Consider the following 21,470-nt stretch of genomic DNA (forward strand, 5'->3'; position numbering starts at 1 on the left):
TCTGGAGCCTGGATGCCCTAGATCAGGTGCCAGGCCATTTGGTTCCTGGTGGGTATGGGCTGTCTTCCTGGCCGTCCCTGCGATGGTGGGGTTAGGTGGTTCTGGTGTCTCTCTTTTTATAAGAGCACCAGACCCATTGGATTAGGACCCCCATTTTAACCTCATTTAACCTTTATTATCTCCTCCAGGCCCTGTCTCCAAATACAGACACACTGGGGGGTTAGGGGTTCAACACAGGACTTTGAGGAAACACAAATATTTAGTGCATAACAAAAAAGGCTATTAGGAATGTTTGCTTTATGCGCTACTGGCAGATACTACAAGATCTCCTAAGCATCCCAGACTACTGAGAAACAAGAAATTGTTTGACCCTGATATCCATATCAGTGATAAGAAATCAAGGAAAATTCACTTTTGGATTTGAGTCTAGGACTGATTCTCATCTTCTTAATAATAATAATGCAATTTTCACATGGAACTTACTAAGTGCTTTTCATACTGGGATCTCAGAAGTATGTTAAATAATTTAAATGGAATTTATAACATCAAATCTTCCTGTCTAAATGACAGAATATTTTTCCTCCTTCATTTGAATGGAAATTGTAACAAAATTTCTCTTTGTTTTTCCTCTTCTTAGGTGGAACTACATAGAGGGAACCAAATTATTTGCTGCCTTTTTCTTAGAGATGGCCCAGCTCCATTAATCACAAGAACCTTCTAGTCTGATCTGATCCACTGACAGATTCACCTCCCCCACATCCCTAGACAGGGATGGAATGTAAATATCCAGAGAATTTGGGTCTAGTATAGTACATTTTCCCTTCCATTTAAAATGTCTTGGGATATCTGGATCAGTAATAAAATATTTCAAAGGCACAGATGTTGGAAATGGTTTAAGGTCCCCCACTGCACACCTTCCTCAAGTCATAGCTGCTTGCAGCAACTTGATTTCCCCAAGTCCTGTGCAATAGCCCCAGGATTGGATTCCTTCAAACCTTTTAGCATATCTCCAACCTTGCAATTTGATTGGCATAATCACTCCAGTTTGCTTTCTAGGTCCTCAAGTGCTCGTGACACATAATCATTCCATCCAATGATCGCCTTTGCTTTACCACTCTTTCCTTTTATCTTATTAATAAAAATGTTGGTCTCCACCACTGACTACAATGATTTCCCCATGGATTCATTTTCAGAGGAGTTACTAAGGCATGGTACTATATTAACCTCTTGCCTCCCCTTCATTTATTTTTTCCCACTTCTTGAAAAGTTCCGAAGCTGAAATGATCAATATTCATACCCATATGCCATTTGGGAGTCCTTGTGCAAAGATGAGTATTTTTTTTTTTATTCCAAGCTTCTTTACCTTTCCTGAGATCGATGCCACCTTGTCAGCTTCTCTGCCTCCCGTTCCTTCTTCCTGTCCCATCAGAAAAGGCCCACTCTCTCTCTATCCAACATCTGTGCACAGGTTGCACCAGAGCAGAATTTATCCTGATAGAATTTCTCTCACCCCATTGAAGTTTTACTCAATGACAACATCTAAATTGCTCAAAGCTTTTAATAGCATCAGTTTTAGATAGAGAACTAATCAACCCTGACATCAGTAACACACGCTAAATTTAAAGCCATCAGCTAATGCTGCATTCATTAATCATTTTAGTTAACCATCATGTTTGGCTTGATTGGATTTGACGGTGTAAACAACAAAAAAAGACAGTCATTTTTCTACAGTTGAGTGTATATAAACAAAATCAATCTTTATGAATTTATTATTTAAATCACATTAATGGAGAATCATTTAGGGGCTTATTAAAATTTTTTTCTATTATGACTCCAAATAAAAACAAAGCAGAGGGCCAGGCGCGGTGGCTCATGCCCATAATCCCAGCACTTTCGGAGGCCGAGGTGGGCGGATCACCTGAGGTCGGGAGTTCGAGATCAGCCTGGCTAACATGGTGAAACCCTGTCTCTACTGAATATACAAAATTAACTGGGCATGGTGGTGCATGCCTGTAGTCCCAGCTACTCGGGAGGCTGAGGCAGGAGAATCGCTTGAACCCAGGAGGCGGAAGTTGCAGTGAACTGGGATCATGCCACTGCACTCCAGCCTGGGCGACAGAGTGAGACTCCGTCTCCAAAAAAAAAAAAAAAAAAAAAAAAAGCAGAACACATTTGCGTTCAACTTTTTTCCATCACTCTGTTGGTTCTTGAGATGTCAGTGTCAGTTTAAAAACGTGCTGTACCACCTTTAAAAGGACTGGAGCAGGCAGGCAGTGATTCAGTTCACCTTGACTCTAGTCATAGAAGTGGACCCAACTGAGAGCTCAACCTAGTTGTGGGCATTTGTGAAGGATTCCAGTTAGTGTTTTCTTTGGAAGCAGGAGGCTTCAAGCCATCACATCTCCAATTCTATAGAATATCAAGTCATCGTTAAAGAACAGCAGCAGGTGTTTGATATTTTGTGCTATTAAGTGTAGTTTGCGCTCATCTAATTATGCAGAGTTTCGTGGTGTTTCTCGATTTTGTTGAACCTACCTGATGCATTTGGCACTGTAGATAAGGACTAACAGTAAGAGAGATTTAGAGTCTTCATGTTAGTCCATTAACATAAGTTTATTATAAAATACACTGTAAGCATTTCTGGCTAATGTACCATCAGATTTAAGAAGTTACCCAACAATATGTATTCGCTGATCTTCATTCCTGCTGAATCTGAGACCAGCAGTGTCTCAATTATTACGTTGCTGCCAGGAGAGAAGGGGAGGAGAATGAATAGTTATGGAAGTTGTAGAATCTAGGATATTCCAACCCTGGATTGCCAGAGTTCAGAGTCCATGTTTTTCTGTCACCCAGGGTCACGACTGGTCTCCCCAGCTCTTCCCTCCTGTTTTTCCACCCAATTCTAAGCCCTGTGGTGATCCAGACCCTACCCTGACGTGGGAGTCAGAAAGGAGTATCTTCCAAGCTCCTTGTACTCAAAGGGATAAAAGAAAGCTACTCAGTTGTTATTCAGATATATTAACCAGCCATATGGAGGCAAAAAAGGGAGAAATTTAAATATTTGTTTTTTAACATTTTAATGATGAAATATATGCACTTGGACAAAAATGATCACCCAGTAAAGTTGGGCGTACATTGTGGCATGCCCATCAGGGGGACTTTGTTGTATTGGAGGAGGGCAATGTATCTGGCTTTGTTAGTAGACGTAGCGCATTAAAGCGTAACTATTGTGATAAGTTTAGGGGTTAGGAATATCATTTGAGTTTGGTAGATGCTTTTCTGGAAAACAATGAGGCTGGGAATGTTTCTGGCTTTATGTTGTATTCATAAAAATAAAATGTACTGGCTTGGAAACTTCGGTGATTGTGTGCCAGACAGTGCGAGAGCCCTGGTCAGTGACACTGTTCCTTTGCACTTGCTGCTGGGAGAAGGGAGTGAGCGAGGGCTCCCCCGAGGGCTTGCTCCCGGACACTTCTCACTGTTCACACTCATGCTGGGAACTCCGTGGCCTTTGTACTCGCCAGATGCCCATGACTCCCAACCCAGCCCCCTCTTCCGAGAATCAGGCCCACCCATCTTCCTGCCCATTTCACATCTGAAACTCTACTCACCTAGTATGAAAACTTCCATCCATTCCTCGAGACTGTTACCCCTCTGGTGCTCCCTACCTTGGTAAGTGGACCATCGGCTAGTTGATAGCAGAGCCCTGCATCGTCTTCCACACTTCCCTCTCTTTCCAATGCAATTCAATATCAGGGCCAGTCCAGCCCGTTTCTCAAAAGCCACCACTTCCTTCTAGTTCCACTGTCACCTCGCATAGCTCATAAGCCAACACTCTTCAGTTTTGCTGGGTTATTGCAGAGGCCCCTAACCAGCCACTGCTTACACGACAGCCCCTCTCACTGTACATGCCATGCGGCAACTGGCTTGTCCCTCTCACCCTGCTTAAAGCTCTCAACTGGCGACATGGTCTGAGGATGAAGTCAGACATCCCAAGAAGGTCTACAAGTCCTGCTCAACCTGCTCTCTGCTTACTCTTCTGGCTTGCTCTGCCCTCACTAGATACACCCTGACAACCCCATCCTTCAAATCCTCCCAGTTTCGCAAACATCCAAGAGCTTCCCTGCCTCAGAGCCTTCTCAGAGTCTCTCCCTCCTCCAGCAACACCCTTACAACCCCCTTGGTGTCACTAATACCCCTCCCACCCACCCTCCACATTATTCTTCAAATCTCAGCTTAGTCGTAATTTTTCAGGGAAGCTTTTTCTTATTCCTCATGAGTAAGTGAGGTGTCCCTATTATGCTACCATAGTCTCCATAGTTCCTTTGTCGCATTTATTATCATTGCCATTAAATACTTAGTCAAGTACCACATACTGACAATTTGGCCAACAACAAACATATATGACAGTGGTCCCATAAGATTACAATACCATATTATTACTGTACCTTTTTCTATGTTTACCTACATAGATACTTACTACTGTGTTGCAACTGCCTACAGTATTCAGTACAGTAACACACTGCACAGGTTTATAGCCTAGGAACAATAGGCCACACCATGCTGCCTAGGCGTGTAGTAGGCTATGCCATCTAGGCTTGTGTGGGTACACTCTAGGGTGGCTGAAGATGTCCAGACACGCATTTCTCAGTATCCCTGTTAAGTGATGCATGATTGTATTTCTACAATTTGAAAACTGCCAGCTCTCCTGCTAGACTGTAACATCTTTACAGGCAGAGATTGTCTGTTTTGTCTATCCTGATGTCTTGAAGGTTCCAGGCATACTGTATGTCATTAGGAAACATTTAAGTGCTGAAATGAATGATTTCAACATTTGTATCATCCATTCTCATGCTGCAATGCACACTCATGATTTCTGTGCATCTCTCTCCCTCCTATTAAACTTCACGCTGTATAATATTAGCGACCATATCCTACTAATCTCTGTACTTCAGGCATCCAGTGGGGTGTTGCTACACACATTAGATAATCAGTATGATTGCTAAAATCTTCCTCTTGACTTTGCAGCAGCGATTTTGGGGGTCTTCCCTACCAGGTGTGCTATACCCTTCCTGGACTTCTCTCATCTTTATACTCTCCACTTCACCTTGTTCCTAGTTTGAAACCTTCTTGGGAGCAGCTAGTACTGGGGAGAAGCACAGAAAACAAGCCATGCAGAGGTGTCAATGGCTAATAACTGTTCGATGTGTTAGGCTTCCCAGCAGTGCTTGTATCTTACCAGGGGCCACACCTTCATTCAGAGGCCACAAACTGGAAGCCCGGGAGCCCTGCACTGGCTCCCTCACCCCCGCTGATGTGGCTTTCACGGTGTCCTAAGCACTTTTGAATGGGAAGCTGACATTGCAAAACTGGAAGATTTCACTTTCACACACACACACACGATTCCTCTTGAGCAATCAGAAGACAGAGTGAGATGACACTGCTCTGCCATTCCTGCAGGTGATGAGAAGCTAAGCTGAGGAGAGCACGAAGCCCAGCATCTGACCATTTAGACATGCTCAACAAAGTTCTTAGAAGAAGCAGAGGAAGGAGAAAGCTCACAAAAGAAAACAAATGCTATTTTATCTGACTTCTCACTTCTACGGATAGTTGTTTTCACTTAAAAACAAATCCCCAAACTGTTTCATGATAGGGCCAAGTGACTTTTAAACACAATCTAGTTTAGTAGATAGTATACTATACTATTTTAAGGGCCAGGCGTGGTGGATCCTGCCTGTAATCCTAGCACTTCGGGAGGCAGAGGCAGGAGGATCCCAGGAGTTTTGAGACCAGCCTGGGCAACATGGGGAGATCCTGTCTCTTAAAAAAAAAAAAAGTGTACTATACTATTTTAAATGTCTACTTTTAAATGAATTCAGTGTTATCTGTTATTTTTAATGTTATTTTTCAGATCAAGTTTGAATATTAATTGTACATGTAATGGCTAAAAAATTAAATCATGATTTGAGATCTTGATTATACAAAACACTTGTTTCTATCTTAATGTACGATGGTTAGACCTAGCATAACTATGTTAACGATCTGTAATACTACTGCCTTTCATAACGAAGAAAAACTTAAACCAAGTCCTAACATTAGCACATATTCCTTCTGCTCTTCCACTGACCAACTATGTAACATCTACATTCTGTATTGCAGAGCACTTATCTTCCTCTTTACCATGTTGAGAAAGCTTTCTTCTTTAGGAAGTAAGTTCTTGTAAGGCAGAGGTTGGGTTGGATATGTTCTATACTTTGCTCAGCTCCCCAAAGCCCTAATCAATTGATAAAATACAAAGACAAGAATGCAGGAGATTTTCTGAAGCAACAAAATGATGCATTCTTTTTAATTCCTAGCATGATGTAGAAGAGAAGTGATGGCAGGTGTAATAATTTCTTTTCTTTTTCTTTCTTTCTTTCTTTTTTTTTTTTTGAGATGGAATTTCACTCTTGTTGCCCAGGCTGGAGTGCAATGGCGTGATCTCGGTTCACTTCAGCCTCCGCCTCCCAGGTTCAAGCAATTCTCCTGGCTCAGCCTCCCAAGTAGCTGGGATTACAGGCGCCTGCCACCACACCCAGCTAATTTTTTTGTATTTTTAGTAGAGATGGGGTTTTACCATGTTGGCCAGGCTGGTTTCGAACTCCTGACCTCAAGTGGAGGTCACCCATCTCAGCCTCCCAAAGTGCTGGAATTACAGGCTTGAGCTACCATGCCTGGCAAGTATAATTTCTTAACAGTTATGATAAGTAAACGCTTTGGAGCTATTTTAGTTTGGATAGAATTGAAAAAAATGTCATTATGTGGACAAATTTTATTTAAAAACATTATTCTAGTGTAATTCCTTAGGCAGAATGAAAAAAGATGTCAGATAAATTATGCCTTTGACTATAACAGAAAATCTGAAGCTTTAAATCATCTCACCTCCCACACTGAAATTCACCAAAACAGCATTCGAGAAGAACTTAGATTTAAAATTCTAGTGTGGGTGGTTAAGTGTTCATAGCATATTCTTATTGCCATTGTAAGTAGGCATTTGAATGGAATGACAAAAAATGTTAATTTAAAGGAAATGAAACTTTAAATGACACTTAGTCATCAAAAATGACTAGTCACCAAAAATGACCAATGCTTCCTTCAAATTTTAAATAATTATAACCAAATAAAGGAAGCCATCTATAGTTTATTTAAAATCCCACTTTCAACCCCAGAAGGCAGAGTTCAGGGATACTTTAGCAGGTGAAGTAAAGTAAGGGGAGGCGGCTCTGAAAAGGAGAGATAACAGAGAAAAAGCAACAAATTCAGCATGTCTCCTGTAACATTTTTAGCTTCAGATGGGTGAGAAATGTAGTGAAAGGGAAACTTGAAATTAGTTAGCCTAAAGCAGAACTCCTGAGGAAGAGGATCACTTGGGAATGAGAGTATATACCATAAGCTATCATTCACTGCTCTTGGCCTTGGAAGAAAAGATTCTGGTTTACATTCTTGGCTGAAGAGGCAACATAATATAGCACAGTGGTTCCCAAACTTTCCTCCACATTGTAAGTACCTGGGGACTTTAAAAAGTACTGATGCCAGGGTTCCTCTTCCCCTGCCCGATTTTCTAATTTACTTGCTATGGGGTATCACCTGGGAATTTTTTTTAAGTTCCTGAGGTGATTCTAATGTTCAGCAAACTCAGAAAGCACTGGTGTAGAGGTGAAAGTGTGTTGAATGGACTCTGGTTCAAATTTGGACTCCAGATTTTACCAGTTGGATAATCTTGGGCAAAATACGTTATTTCTCAGATCCTTGGTTTCCTTAGCTGTAAAGTAGGAATGGGAACATCTTTATTGCAGAGTCGTTGGCAGCACAATGACAATATATGCAGAACACTTAGCACAGTGCCTAGCACGCAGTAGACACTCAATACATGGTGTTACTTATTTTTGTTATTTTAATTTTCTATTTTTCCATTTATAAATAGATAAATATTCCACAAACAATTTCTTAAAGAGGAATAATTAGAAATCAACTTATGTGTGCTGCTGGGGTGTGTATAATGCAGCTACAAGTTGGGATCCTCTTTGTTCTGAAGTTGAAGTCTCTTGCTAGAAGTGTCCAGGTACAGGAAGACAGTAGCAGTGAGGACCCAGGTCACCACACGTTCTTGGTATTATTACCTCTCAAATCTCAACAGAGAATGACAGATGTCATATTGTCCTTGCACTTTTTTTTACTTCATTGATTGAATGTATTAAATTAGGTCATCACATTCATAAAGATGAAATCAATCATATTTGTTGAGATAACTAAACTATTGGCTTCATACCCTGGATCCATTTCTCCTTTTCCTTCCTAATTCTTACTTTATTCATGTTTCCATCCCTTTCCCACTCAGCCAAGTGCCACAGGTAGAGCTGACACCTTCCCAAGATCCAGGTGGTCTCTGAGGCCTACAGGCGATTCCATTCCTGTCTGCAGTGCTTAGCTCAGGGTACACATGTGAGCCACTTCTGGCCATGGGATGTGAAGGCATGCTTGCTGGGGGCTTTTGGGAAATTCCTTTTCTCTTAAGAAAAAAATCATAAGAAAAGGAGTTCTCTTTTTTATCTCTAGATGTTATCCCTGGAATCACTCTAGCCATCTTACTACAGCCTGATGTTCAATAGGGCATTGAGAATTGAAGTGCAGAGTGATGAGAAAAATCTAGGTCCTTGATACCAACATTCAACTCCTGAGTCAATAAATTCTGAAGCCTCCTTTATGTCTGGATGACAAATTTGTGAGCTGATACACTTTTTTATTGATTAAAGTAGTGGAGGTTCATTTCTATTATCTGCAGCTAAAAGCCTCCTGGTATAAGTGCTTTGTGTTATCCTTCCAATTATTCTACATTTCACCATCACTTTCAAAGCAGTAATATTATACATTTCTAATTTGCATAACTTACTAGTTTTCAATTTTTTTACCCTAGTTAACACAAAGTCCTTGAAGTGAATATCATCTTTATTTTATTTTAGTAATAAGAAACTGGGGCTCAGAAAGTTTAGGTAACACAGTAGGAAATGATGAAACTGAAACAAGCAATCATGTCTATTTGATTGCTTTTTTCCTGTAAAGACAGTCATTAATGCTCTTCACCAAATGTTTTCATTTCTTCTGACACATGCCAAGATCGCACTTCCCCATCCTTTTGAAGTTACTTGCAGCCATGATAATTGCCCTGGCCCAATGCAATGTGAACAGGTAAAAGACATATTTTACTTCTGGGCCAAAGCTTCAAGAACCAGTGCATATTTTGTTGTCTTCTCTCTCTCTAATGCAGGTAACAGAAGTCCCATGAGCCTGGGTCCCACAAAGAGACATGGAGTGTAGCATCCAGCAATGTCGTTATAAACTTGTAGTGGGAATTAACAATACACATTTGTTGTTATAAACTAAGATTTGGTTATAAACCACTAAGCATAACCTAGCCACTGCTGACTGATTAATTCATAAAGTGGCTATATCACTTTGTGTTTTTAAGTGGCAATAATTTAACTCAGTTCTCTATTAGATACCTCAATTCCAAATATTTTTTTTTCTGAGAAATGTATGTAAATTTTATTCAGAAATAGTAAAGTTTTAAAAATGTTATTTCGATAGTTTCTGTGGAACAGGTGGTTTTTGGTTACATGGGGAAGTTCTTCAGTGGTGAGTTCTGAGATTTTGGTGCACTCATCACCCAAGCAGTGCACACTGTACCCAATGTGTAGTCTCATCCTTCAACCCTTGAGTCCTCAAAGTCCACTATATCATTCTTATGCCTTTGCATCTTCGCAGCTTAGCTCCCACTTACGAGTGAGAACATACAATATTTGGTTTTCCATTCTTGAGTTACTTCACTTAGAATAATGGTCTCCAACTCCATCTAGGTTGCTGCAAATGCCATTATTTCATTCCTTCTTATGGCTTAGTATTCCATAGTGCATATATATCACATTTTCTTTATCCACTCGTTGGCTGATGGGCAGAAATAATAAATTAATTAGCTAAAAATACATTTACATAGTCATCATCAAACCAGGTGTTCATTTAGGTTAATAAAACTGTAGTTCCTGATAGCTTTCTTTGAGACAAACAGACTTACATCAATTTTTCTCAACAATTGAATCCTAGGCATTCTCTGTGTATTTAAAAATGTTGCCTCAGTATGGAGAAGTTGTTAGGATGAAGTGCTAGTGCCTTATCTGAAAAGTATCTCCCTCCTCCCAGCAAGCCACTCTGTTGGGACTACATCCAGCGCAAAGGTCCAGAACAGAAGCAGCATGCAGGTGAACGTATGTTTAGGGTATTAGACAGGGGGAGATCGTCACCAGGTATCCAATATAGACAGAATCAGAGAACATGACATCACTTCTTTGAACCTCATTTTTCTCATCTGTAAAATGGAAATAATGTGTCTATTCAGAGTAGTTATAATAATTATTTGAAATAATGCATATAAGGTTTGTTGCATAATGCCTGGCATTTATTTAATAGTTGATATATTTTAATTTCTTTTATACATTCTCATTTTGTCAACTTGCTATTGTAAAAGTGTTTACTATTCATTATCCAATGGAAAAATATCACATATACCCAGAAAAAGATGTGAATATATTGATTGCTTTCTTTTCTCAGACATGATAAAAGTATACATTTTGAACTTATGAAGACTGAAAATCTTTGCTCTGAGTTTTTCCTTTGCGACTTTCTTAAGACTGTAACTGGTATATTTGGCAATAAAACTTCTGTTATCATTTAGGTTGCTTCATGATGCAAGTAAAAGAAAACTGGACTTAAATAAGAAAAGGATTTTTTTTTTTTTTTTTGGTTAACAGGTCTCAAGTGTGGCTGGCTTCGAGCAAGTCTTGATCCCAGGGGTTCCTGGTGTCATTGTAACCACCCAACGGGTTCATCTTGCCCGCTGCCCAGACAGTGGATTCATCAAGACAAAGGAATTGCAATAAAGAGTTTAATTCACACAGAGCTGGCTAAACAGGAGACCAGAGTTTTATTATTACTTAAAGCAGTCTCCTGAAAATTCAGAGACTGGGATTTTTAAAGGATAATTTGGGGGAGTAGGAGACCAGGGAGCGGGGAGAATTGATGGCTCTGGTGTGACATGAAATCATAGGGAGTTGAAACTGTCCTCTTGCACTGAGTCAGTTCTTGGGTGGGGGCTACAGGACTAGATGAGCCAGTTTATCCATCTGAGTGATGCCAGCTGATCCATGAGTGCGGGGTCTGAAAAACATCTTAAGCACCAATCTTGGGTTTTACAATAGTGATATTATCCTTAGGAACAATTGGGGAGGTTTAGAATCTTGTGGCCTCTAGCTGCATTATTCCTAAACTGTAATTTCTAATCTTGTGGCTAATTTGCTAGCCCTAAAAAGGCAGTCTGGTCCCCAGGCCAGAAAGGGGTTTGTTTTCAGAATGAGCTGTTATCATCTTTGTTTCAAAGTTACACTATAAACTAAGTTCCTTCCAGAGTTAGTTCTGCCTATGCCCAGGAATGAACAAGGACAGAGTTTAGAAGCAAGATGGAATTGGTTAGGTCAGATCTCTTTCACTGTCATAATTTTCTCAGTTGTAATTTTTGCAAAGGTGGTTTCATCACTAGGACTCTCTGTCTTCACTAAAAGTCTGTGTTGTCCATGTCAAGCATTATTCATTCAAAAATAAAGAGAGGAAGAAAAAAAAAGACTTCCCTTTTTCCTTAGAATCAGAAAATTAGTCTTGAATGACATCTATGGACTCTCTCAGTTGGAAATGAGGTCAAACTGACTTCCTTAAGGTCCTGTCTTAGTAACTCAAAATACTCAAAATAGAACTGAAACATAAACTTAGATTTTACTTCACTGCTCAGGGGAGGAACATAAGTGTTAACTAAACCCCCAAGGTAAGAAAGGTAGCAAGATAAATCACCCAAAGATCACAGAATGCCCAATCCATATACAGAATTGTGCTATTGTTATTGTCAAGAAATTTATCACCTTGTCATACAACACCAACACTGTTGAAATAGCTATTAAAACACTGTAGGAAGTGCTAAATTTTCACATAAATTTTAAATTTCAAGTGAACTCTTTGAAGGCAGAACCCAGTTTTATCTTTTATATAACAGGCACCCAATAAATGTTGGTTAATGGAATACAAATAACATTTGCAGCTGGTCACTTGTGAGGAAATTGTTTCCCACATTTTTCTCTAGAATTTTTAATTAACTATTACTATTAAACTGAGTCTACATGATGGAAAAGCTTGACTCTGGAGTTTTAGGTTGAGTTCCACTTTTACTAGCTGTGTGATCTTGGAACAGTTTATTAGTCTTCTAAATTACTGTTCCTTACTGTGGATAAGAGAATTCATGTGGATTACAATCAGAATTAAACCAGATAATGTCTACAAAAAGTTTTCTATGAACTATTTAAAAAGGTAAGGAATTATCACTCGAATGTATTCTGATTTAAACTGAATTGTGTTCGAATTGGCCTTGAGTGACGATTTGGCCTAGAAAGCCTATCTTCAGAACATCACACACACACAAAAATCCAATTACTTACAATGATTTTTTTGAGACGGAATCTCGCTCTGTCGCCCAGGCTGGAGTGCAGTGGCGCAATCTCGGCTCACTGCAGCCTCCGCCACTGGGTTCAAGCTATTCTCCCGCCTCAGCCTCCAAGTAGCTGGAATTACAGGCTCGCACCACCATGCCTGGCTAATTTCAAATTTTTAGTAGAGACGCGGTTTCCCCAGGCTGGTCTCAAAATCCTAGCCTCAAGCAATCCACCGACTCGGCCTCCCAAAGTATTGGGATTACAGGCGTAAGCCACCCCGCCTGGCCAGTGATCTTCCTAAACAGAAATCTGATCACATAACTTCCCATTACAGAGTCTAACCCTAACCCTGTGCCTACAACATAGTCAAACCTCTTTAGCAAGGCAGATGACCTCAAGCAGGATTTCACTGCCTCTTTGTCACAGCACTTAACAAGCTGTGATGTATTTATTTTTATTCGTCTACACAGGTCTTCCCTACTAGATTCTGAGTTTCAGAAGAAAGGCCTCTAACTCGAGGTTCATGAATGGACCTGCACAAGGGGGCGGACGGGCTGAAGTCCTGCCTTTTTTTTTTTCCAAAAAACCCGTATGCTGTGCCGTTAACGTTCATAAAAAAGTCCTTGTCGAACGTTTTAAACAGCCAAGGTGTTTCAGCTTTAATAAAAGCTGAAAATTTGGCAATACCAAACAGGTCACCAAGCCACAGTCCGCTTCTTGGCCTCCTCTTTGGTATCAGAGTTCGGCTAGCGGCTTCCTGTGGCCTCTTAAACAAGGACCTCATTTTGGGAGCCATTCGAGAGATTTTTTCTCATCATCTAAAGTAGCATTCTCGCCTTGCACAGCTGAAAGTCATTTCTCGAAATCGGAGCGCCAGAAGCGACAGGAGCCACTCCAGGCCCGGGGGAAGCGAGCAAAGGGGCAGCGGGCTGCGTTTGCCAACGTAGGCCTCTCGGGTCCCGCGCCGTTCTGGGCCTTCTCCGTGTTTCCGGCGCCGCCCTCGGGGTCCCTTACAGAGGGCGGGAGGCGGGTGGAGAGACGGGGCAGGAAGCAGGCGGGATCGGCCTGGGAAGAACCCGTTCTGGGACCCTCTAGAAATCCCAGACAGCCCTCCCGGGCTGACAGCGCCTGCCTTGGAGCCCGACGCGCTCATCGAATTTAGATTGACTCCTTCGGCTCTCCGTTTTCCTTCTCTAAGGGAAGGGTGGGACTTCCTATTTTATCTCTTAGCGGCTTCCGGCAAGAGCTGATGTGTTAAAAACAAGACAGCACATGGGCCTGCCGGCCACTCGGATAAAAAACAAGGAACTCGACCTGGATTGTACTAAACCAGTTCCAAGATTCTGTTTTTCGGCTGTGGCGTCCGGCGCTGCATCCACTACGGAGTCGCCTTGGAAGCCACCGGAAGTCCTTCGACGGAGAAACAGGATGTCCCGCCTCTTCCTCCCAAAGGGAAGACGGTGAGCCGGAGGAGTCAGTCAGAGGGGCGAGCAGGAGCGATTCCGTCGCCAAACAGGTAAGTTATTCTCTGGCCGGGGCGGGGGGTTTGGAGGCGGGGACCGTCCAGCGTCAGCGCGGGGCCTGGGGGCGGTGGCTTGAGGGCTCGAAGCCGGGCGGCTGGGCGCCCAGAGCCCCGTCTGGGCCCTTCGCTCTTTCTCCTCCCCCCTCCCCCCGCCTCCGCCCCTCCCTGTCGCCTTCCTTCCCGACACCCGCCCAGACTCACGCCCGGACACACACCCTCGCTCGTTCGCTCACGCTGCCTCGCCGCCCTCCTCCCCCAGGCCCCAGCTGCCGCCCTGCCCTCTCACCCGCTCGCTCCGCAGGCCGGTCCCGCGGGCAGCCTCGCTCCGCGCCCTTGCGCGAGCGGAGCTCTTGTGGACACCTCGGGGCTGCGGACCTAGCGTGGCCTCGGTTTCCCCTGCCGGGTTCGCCTGTCCGCGCAGAAACAGTCCCCCGTTCCTTCGGGACGCACCCCTGCACCGAAATCGGGCCGTTCTCGCGTGCCCGGGTTGCTCTCAAGTGGAAAACAGATGCTCCCCTAGCTGCACAGCTGCAAGCTTTAGCGTCTGGTTTCCAGCAGGGGCTCCCTGGACCGCCCGCCCACTCTCGTGTCACCCCCAGGTGCCCTGGCTGCGCCGCTGCTACTCGCGCCTTCTTCCGTTAAGCGACGCTGGTGTGGGCGGGCGGAGGGCACACAAGTGCGGTGGCCGAAAGCACCGCGGTGGCAGCGAAGGGTCCTAGCCATTCCCGACTTCAGCTCGCTTTGCGCCACTGCGGGGAGACCCGCGGCTGCCTGACACCGCTGCGGGCAGCAGTGGGTTTCTCAGTAGATGCTCACCTCTTTCCAGCCAGCTAGCACGCCCTGGGTGCTTGGCCTCCTTCTGGAGTTTAAGCTGGTGGAGGCGGGGTGCAGTGGCCGCTGACCTCTGTCGGTTGCGCTGGGTTTTGAGTAGCCATTTATTTCATTGGGGAGTTTTGGAATAGGACATCCCACATCCGTGGACACACATGTAGAATACTTTTATAAGTAATTACAGTCTTAATAGTGATTTGAGTTACAGCTTTGCAGTCTATGCCTGGTGACATCCTAGTCGTAGTATGTATCTGTTTTGTGGTGAAGTGCTGGTCCATTTAGAACACTGTAGACAGGGGCCCTAACATATACTCATCAGAACCTTATTAAGAAGAGCTTATATGTCATTTGGCATACTCACTGTGCTTCATTTAGTACAGCAATCTTGTGTAGTAGGAATTATTCCCTTTTTACAAACTGAGACTCACTTTGCTATATACAAAATTACTGCTACTGGTACAAGGTAAAGCTTTCTTCTTGCGTGACATGTAAGGCAGGTGTGATAATTGCTCACAACACAGTTGCTACTGGTGCATTTTTTTTTAAACTTTATTTCGGAATAAATTAAGATTTACAGAAAAGTTGCAAACAATAGGACAGTTCCATTGGTACCTTTTAAGCAGAGCAAAGTGGCTCCACTTCAAAAACACTGGTTCTTGCTTTATGCCAAACACCCTTCTAGGTGTTGGAAATAGTAATATACTTCCCTAGAGGATTTTGAGATCTGGTTGAATAGACACATAAATAAATATATATAATACCTTTTTCTGCTTACTAAAATAGAGATGTGGGAGCACAGTGGAAGTTACGGCTGATTGATGGTGGGGAGTGGTGAAAGCTTCTTGCAGGATATGTGATTTGAGATAGGTCTCAAGGACTAGTGGGTATTCACCTGGTTGAAGGGACATTTTCCCCAACATTCATTCCGATTAGGTTTGTTTTATTAGAGTAGAACTCGCTAATCTTAATAAAATATACTCTCCTAGTTTGATTCTTCTCTTTCTCATCTCCTTTAAGAAGGTGGTTTGTATCCCAGATAGTGAGAAGAAGCCTAGTTTCTAAATCTATGAATAGGCGAATAAATTAAGCTGTATGTTTCTAATTGATAGTTGTGACTCTTTCGACTGTAGTTGAGATTGGTTTTTTAGGAATGCACTGTGGTCCTCCACTGAGCGTTTTCCTTGCTTTCCAACTCTGATGACTAGTGGAATTAAGTAATGCATTCAGGAAACATTTACCGCATGCTTGCTTTGTGCCAGCCATTGCACTAGAGTAAAATGATGAACAAGATAGTGGGGAATATAGACAAGCAAATGCGCATTGGCAGTGCAGTCTGATGGCCTGCCCACAGAGTGTCACAGTGCCATTCATGATTCTTGGTTGTCAACCATGGCAATGGACTTGGCTGACTTAAGCAGAAAAGGAATTTATTGGAAGGCTATAGATGGCTTTCAGAATTGATGGGAAGGCTGGGGAACTGGATTCAGAAAATAGGCAGCAACCAAAAGAGGCTGGCTGGCTGGGGCCACATCCAAGGCAATATCACGTAAATAGCCTGCCTAGAATTTTGTTGCTGGTGACATTGCCACTGGAGAAACTGCCACCTCTGTTGCTGGACTGTTGACTCTCTTCTACCACTGAAAAATCTCTTATTGCTCCTGCATCTTTGTGACCTTTTTTGCCAAGCCACTGTAGTTGTCAGGGAGCAGAGAGATGGAGAGAGATGGTCTTTATCCCTCGCAAAGACCCACACCTCAAAGGAGTCCTACTAAATAGAAGGAAGCTTGGGCTGTGGGTAGCCCTAAAAGCAAAAATGTCCAGCATAACCACTGAACCTGGCAAGCTTAAAGAGGTTAGGGAGGAATACCAAGAGGGAATGGCGACCAGAGAATGAACAGGAACTCACTGGGCAAAGAGATAAAGAGCGGTTAGGGAATCCAGTTTTGGATAGAAGACTTCCAAGCGTCAAAAGGTAATGTGGAACATTTCAAGAATTAAAAGGTGTTTAGGATGGCTGGATCACGGAGTATAAGAGGAGGTGTGGAAAATAAGGCTGGAGAGGCCCTCTTGAAGAAATGTAGGCAGCATAGTGACATGTACACCCTTTTGCTTGTTTTAAGCACTTTGATTGCAACTACGGAGACCAGTTGGCATGGTGTAAGGCTAGGGGACAGGGATCTTTTAGAGGCTGTTGCATTTATAGTAGGTTAGACATCACAGAAGTCTGAACTAGGATAGTGGCCCAGAGGTAGGGGAAGTGAGTGGATTGTACATGCTCAGTTAGTGGAGTGGATTCGGGGATGGAGTAGGTGAGATGGACAAGTCAAGGTGGACACTGATGTGTCTGCTTCGGGTGACTGGGTGGAGCCTGGTGTTCCCTGTGTGGTGATGGAAGGTGAGCAGTTGCCCCAGTAAGATACTTCAGTGTGGGCTCATTTCTGTGAACACGTTGAGTGGGCAGTTGTATGGATGAGTCTGCAATCCCAGAGGACCACCAGCATCTCACTGCAGCCTTGGTTCCTTCAGTTAGTTGTGTGTGTGTGTGTGTGTATGTCTGTGTGTGTGTGTGTGTGTGTGTGTGTGTGTGTGTCCTTCACAAGATTATGGCAAGACCGGCCTTCATGTGTATGCATCCCAAGTCTCTTGGCATGATGTCTTACTCATAGAAGGGGGTGTTAGGCCATTCTTGCATTGCCTAAAATGGAGAGATAGCCAAGGCTGGGTAATATACAAAGAAAAGAGGTTTCACTGGCTCGCGGTTCTGCAGGCTCTACAGGAAGTGTGGCACTGGCATCTGCTGGGCTTCTGGTGAAGCCTCAGGAAGCTCTCCATCATGGCAGAAGGCAAACGGGGAGCTTGCATATCCCATGGCAAGAGCAGGAGCGAGAGAGTGGGGAGGTGCTATGCACTTTTAAATAGCCAGGTCACATGGGAACTCACTCACCATCTCAGGACAGCACCAAGCCATTCAGGAGGGACACCCCCGCCATAATTCAATCACTGCCCACCAGGCCCTACCTCCAACATTGGGGACTACATTTCAGCCTGAGATTTGGAGGGGATGCACATCCAAACTGTTTCGAGGGGAATCAGTAAATATTGTGGAATTTAATGGAGTATGAGTCATTTGGAGCAGAAAGGAAGTACAAAACATGTCCCTATACAATATATGCATACATATCTGTATACATAGCTACACCTACATATGTATCTTGCTTGCATCACTAGTGAGGGATCCACATCTGTATATATTTTTTGTAGTGGAAAGGCTTTTTGTTCTTATCAGTGTTGTCTTGTGACTAGAACATCTCCTTATGGTAATTATATGGGTAGATCATAATTGTACTAACTCCCTGCTTACTTGATTATCTTGCAATTCCAACTACCTGGAATAAAACCCAGAAATAGCCTTGCAAGAAGTTGATGGCGGTGTAGGAGTGTAAAGGAATTACAGCCTCCCTAAATAAAGTAAAATCTAGAACTTCTAGAATTGAGCACTGAAGGGAGAACCTTTTGCGGGAGAAGGTAGAGAGAGATGATGGTCTCCAACATTGTCTTCTTTAAGTGTCATTTTTCCTTTAGAGGATTATTGCTTTTATTCATACAGTAGTTTCCAGATATAATAATCCTGGTTTAACAGTTTGCTTCTCGAGTATAGCTGAGAAAACTGGACGTTTTCAAAGTATTAAGTACTTAGGGACAGTAAAAGGCAAATAAACATAGAATTCAGTGGTGGTAACAATAATAATGTTTTTGAGCTCTTTATATAAACACTGTGCCAGGTGCCTCTGTACATAATCTCATTTAATTCCCCCAAATCTTTTGAGGTATATACTACATTTTATTGATTTATGGGACACTCAAATTTAGGATAAATAGCTTGTGCAAGGCGACACAGCTATTAAATGGTAGAGCCAGGATTTGAACCAAGATGGTCTGACTTCCGAACCCCTATTTTTAGTCACTAAGTTACATTACCTTCTACAGTATTTTAGCATTGATTCATTCAACATTTTTTTTAGCTCCTCTTATGTCCAGTGTAGTCTGTGAGTTAGTAGAGATCCAGAAGGGTAGGATAAACACATTGCCCTGGTCCTGCTGGGAAACACATCCTGCACTGTGTGTGTGTGAGGGGAGTTGGGGGCAGGGAAAATGCCTCAGGGGGACTCCTACACTGACCCCTGAGCATGCCCAGGTGTGTGGGGACAGGGCATTCAGGAGAGAGCTGAGGCTCCCAGGCAGCCCGGCAGATCATGGGGCAGTGTAGCATTTGGAAGCAGGGGCCAAACTGCGAAGGGTCTTGAAGGCTGAGGTAATACTTGAAGAGTTTATTGTAAGGGCATTGGGGAGCCAGTAATAGGTTCATGCATTTGGTCATGTCTTAGCATTTATTTAAAGAAAGTTTTGAGTCCTGTAGCACTCACTGTGCTGCACAGATGCTATGAGAGTTGATGATAAGGAATCTTGCTTTAATTTGGAAGAAGGTTTAGGGAGACTTCTCAGAGGAAAGGAAGTCCCCCCTGCCCTTCAGTTATTTATTTAGTTGTTTACAATTGAAAAACCAATGCATGCACACAACGAAAAATTGCAAATAGTACAGTGATGCCTCAGACTCTAGGGCTGCTCTCCAGAGACAATCACTATTAACAGTTTCTTGAGTTTGAAAGTGCCCATTCTTTTAATGTGAGCAAAGCAAATGACAACAGTATCTTCTCTCTATGAAGCAGTTCTGACAGTAAAGCCCAACCATGTAAGGCAGGCCACGTAATCAGTACCTGAAAGGCACCTTTCATAAATTCTGTACCGAGGAAGTAGCTTAGGCTTAGGTCTCCTAGAAGCTCAGTCTGTTGGTGAGACACCATTGACGCCTGTGAAACAATAGATTCATTCCACATCTTTCTTTATTCTTAAGCATTTTTGTTTTTTTGGTAGTTGTTGGTTTTTGTTTTAACATTCAAGCACTGGAGAGAATAAGTTCTCCCTGATTTCAGGCACTTTTCCATAGGTAACCACTGTTAAGTAATTTCAGACTGAACAGGATGTCTTGATGAGCTTCCAGTGTTACCTCAACTATGTAATATTTTCTATTATGGATATATTAGCTTATTTAAACATTATCTTATTAGTGGACATTAAGGATTTCTGGCTTGGGTGATTTGATGGGTTGTAAAGCTATTTACTGCCATAAAGAACAAAGGAAAAAGGAGTAAGTTTGTGGGGGAAGTTGATGAGTGCATGTAACATCCAAATGGACTTAGGGGTCTGGTACCTACAGAGCTGTTGGCTAGAGATAAAAATTTAGGCATCATCATTAGTGGATGGGAATGAAAACCATGGAAGTTCACTTGGTCACTAAGGAAGAGGTGGATGAAGAGATAAGAGAGGTCACCTCCTCACAAAGTACAAGGTTTGATTCCATTGTAGCTCCTTTGCTTCTTGGGATTCAGGGAATTCCATGAAGTTCTTTAGATGGGTCCTTGCCTAGTTTTTCTCCTTGTTAGCTTTTGGTTTGCATCCGTGTGGCAAGTTCCCTTCTCCCTATCCCAGAAGCTTCCTCATGTGCATTTTGATCCTTTGCTTGTCTGCTATGTCCACCAGGGGTCTTAGGTTTAACTCACACTTCCCAGACCTCCATAGGCCACACTTGAACAGTCTGTGAAGAAGGGGAAGAACAAGAGCCACAGCTTGCCAGCCCAAAGTGTCAGATCTTCTCTCAGGGGTGGTCCTTGCAATTGTCTACACAGCTGTGCAGACACTGTCTTTCCAGGTGGCTGCTTCAGTGCAGGGACATGAGAGCCACATCATGGATGTAGACACAGCCTTATCTTTGAAATCTCATGCCCCATAGGGAGCAAGTGTTTTTGAACATTCCATAGGCTTAGCTTCTAGGATCCTTGGCAGAGGATAATAAATAAACACAGAATTCAATGGAAGTAACAATAATAATGTTTTTGAGTTCTTTATATAAACACTGTGCCAGATGCCTCTGTACATACATCATGTAATCCCCCCAAATCTTTTGAGGTATATACTACATTTTATTCATTTATGGGACACTCACCATGTGTAAGAGTCCTTGCATCCCAAGGGCACCCGAAGCATGGTGTCCCCATCAGATATTTATAGTTCATGCATAGTTCATCAAAGTCTGGATGCAGTTTACCAGTTGGGCCATTCTTACAGTAAGCAGTTTCGCTTAGTGGCATAGTTGACATTCTTACCCTTATTAGGTTACCAGAGGGAACAGAGCCAGATGGTTTAACTAACAGTCTAATTTTCATGTATCAGGGAAAGGGTTTTGTTAACCTTTTCACTCACCGTTTGCCACACCAAGAAAGAAATGGAGTGCATTCTCTTGATATTTGGGGTCTGCCTTCCCGGGGCCATTTCTAGGGTAAGAGACATTCCGGCGGTGACTTCAGTCTTGAAGAGCACCTCCTTCACCCCCAGCTACTTAGTGAGGTCTCCAGTCCATTTCCTAATCTTATAAGGACTGGGAAGCATGGGCCTTGCATCTGCTGTCTGCAGCTCCTAGCTGTGTGACTTCAGGTAAG

The 21,470-nt window shown here is 42.9% G+C and overlaps 2 protein-coding genes and 1 long non-coding RNA gene across 8 annotated transcripts in view, besides 3 other annotated features; 2 read left to right on the plus strand and 1 right to left on the minus strand.

Moving 5' to 3' along the window:
* CNDP1 (carnosine dipeptidase 1) overlaps positions 1-3,354 on the plus strand; it is a 52,713-nt gene extending 49,359 nt beyond the window's left edge. Inside the window, exon 12 of the mRNA NM_032649.6 lies at positions 638-3,354. Within this exon, the coding sequence (NP_116038.4) occupies positions 638-704 (67 nt within the window). The 3' untranslated portion in view covers positions 705-3,354. The remainder of the gene's footprint in view (positions 1-637) is intronic.
* Positions 7,916-13,977, minus strand: ZNF407-AS1 (ZNF407 antisense RNA 1). Its single transcript, NR_024484.1, has 2 exons — positions 12,570-13,977; positions 7,916-9,981 (listed from the first exon to the last, which is right to left on the minus strand). It is a non-coding gene; the product is annotated as a ZNF407 antisense RNA 1 (long non-coding RNA).
* Positions 13,788-13,997: an enhancer, noted in NCBI's record as "active region_13500". NCBI's record gives its function as "activates an Ori minimal core promoter by ATAC-STARR-seq in GM12878 lymphoblastoid cells {active_cell/tissue: GM12878}" and the evidence as "EXISTENCE:reporter gene assay evidence [ECO:0000049][PMID:35858748]".
* ZNF407 (zinc finger protein 407) overlaps positions 14,012-21,470 on the plus strand; it is a 467,802-nt gene continuing 460,343 nt past the window's right edge. For 5 of the 6 annotated variants that reach the window (NM_017757.3, XM_017025838.3, XM_011526069.4 and 2 more), the window contains exon 1: positions 14,012-14,079. The gene's annotated coding sequence lies outside the window, so the exon portion shown is untranslated. Of the gene's footprint in view, positions 14,080-20,338; positions 21,466-21,470 lie in introns of those variants that run through there. The other variant, NM_001384475.1, reaches the window with a different exon arrangement.
* Positions 14,098-14,397: a silencer, noted in NCBI's record as "silent region_9545". NCBI's record gives its function as "represses an Ori minimal core promoter by ATAC-STARR-seq in GM12878 lymphoblastoid cells {active_cell/tissue: GM12878}" and the evidence as "EXISTENCE:reporter gene assay evidence [ECO:0000049][PMID:35858748]".
* Positions 14,788-15,007: an enhancer, noted in NCBI's record as "active region_13501". NCBI's record gives its function as "activates an Ori minimal core promoter by ATAC-STARR-seq in GM12878 lymphoblastoid cells {active_cell/tissue: GM12878}" and the evidence as "EXISTENCE:reporter gene assay evidence [ECO:0000049][PMID:35858748]".

The sequence above is a fragment of the Homo sapiens genome, chromosome 18 (genome assembly GCF_000001405.40).
Source record: "Homo sapiens chromosome 18, GRCh38.p14 Primary Assembly".
NCBI classification, from domain to species: domain Eukaryota; kingdom Metazoa; phylum Chordata; class Mammalia; order Primates; family Hominidae; genus Homo; species Homo sapiens.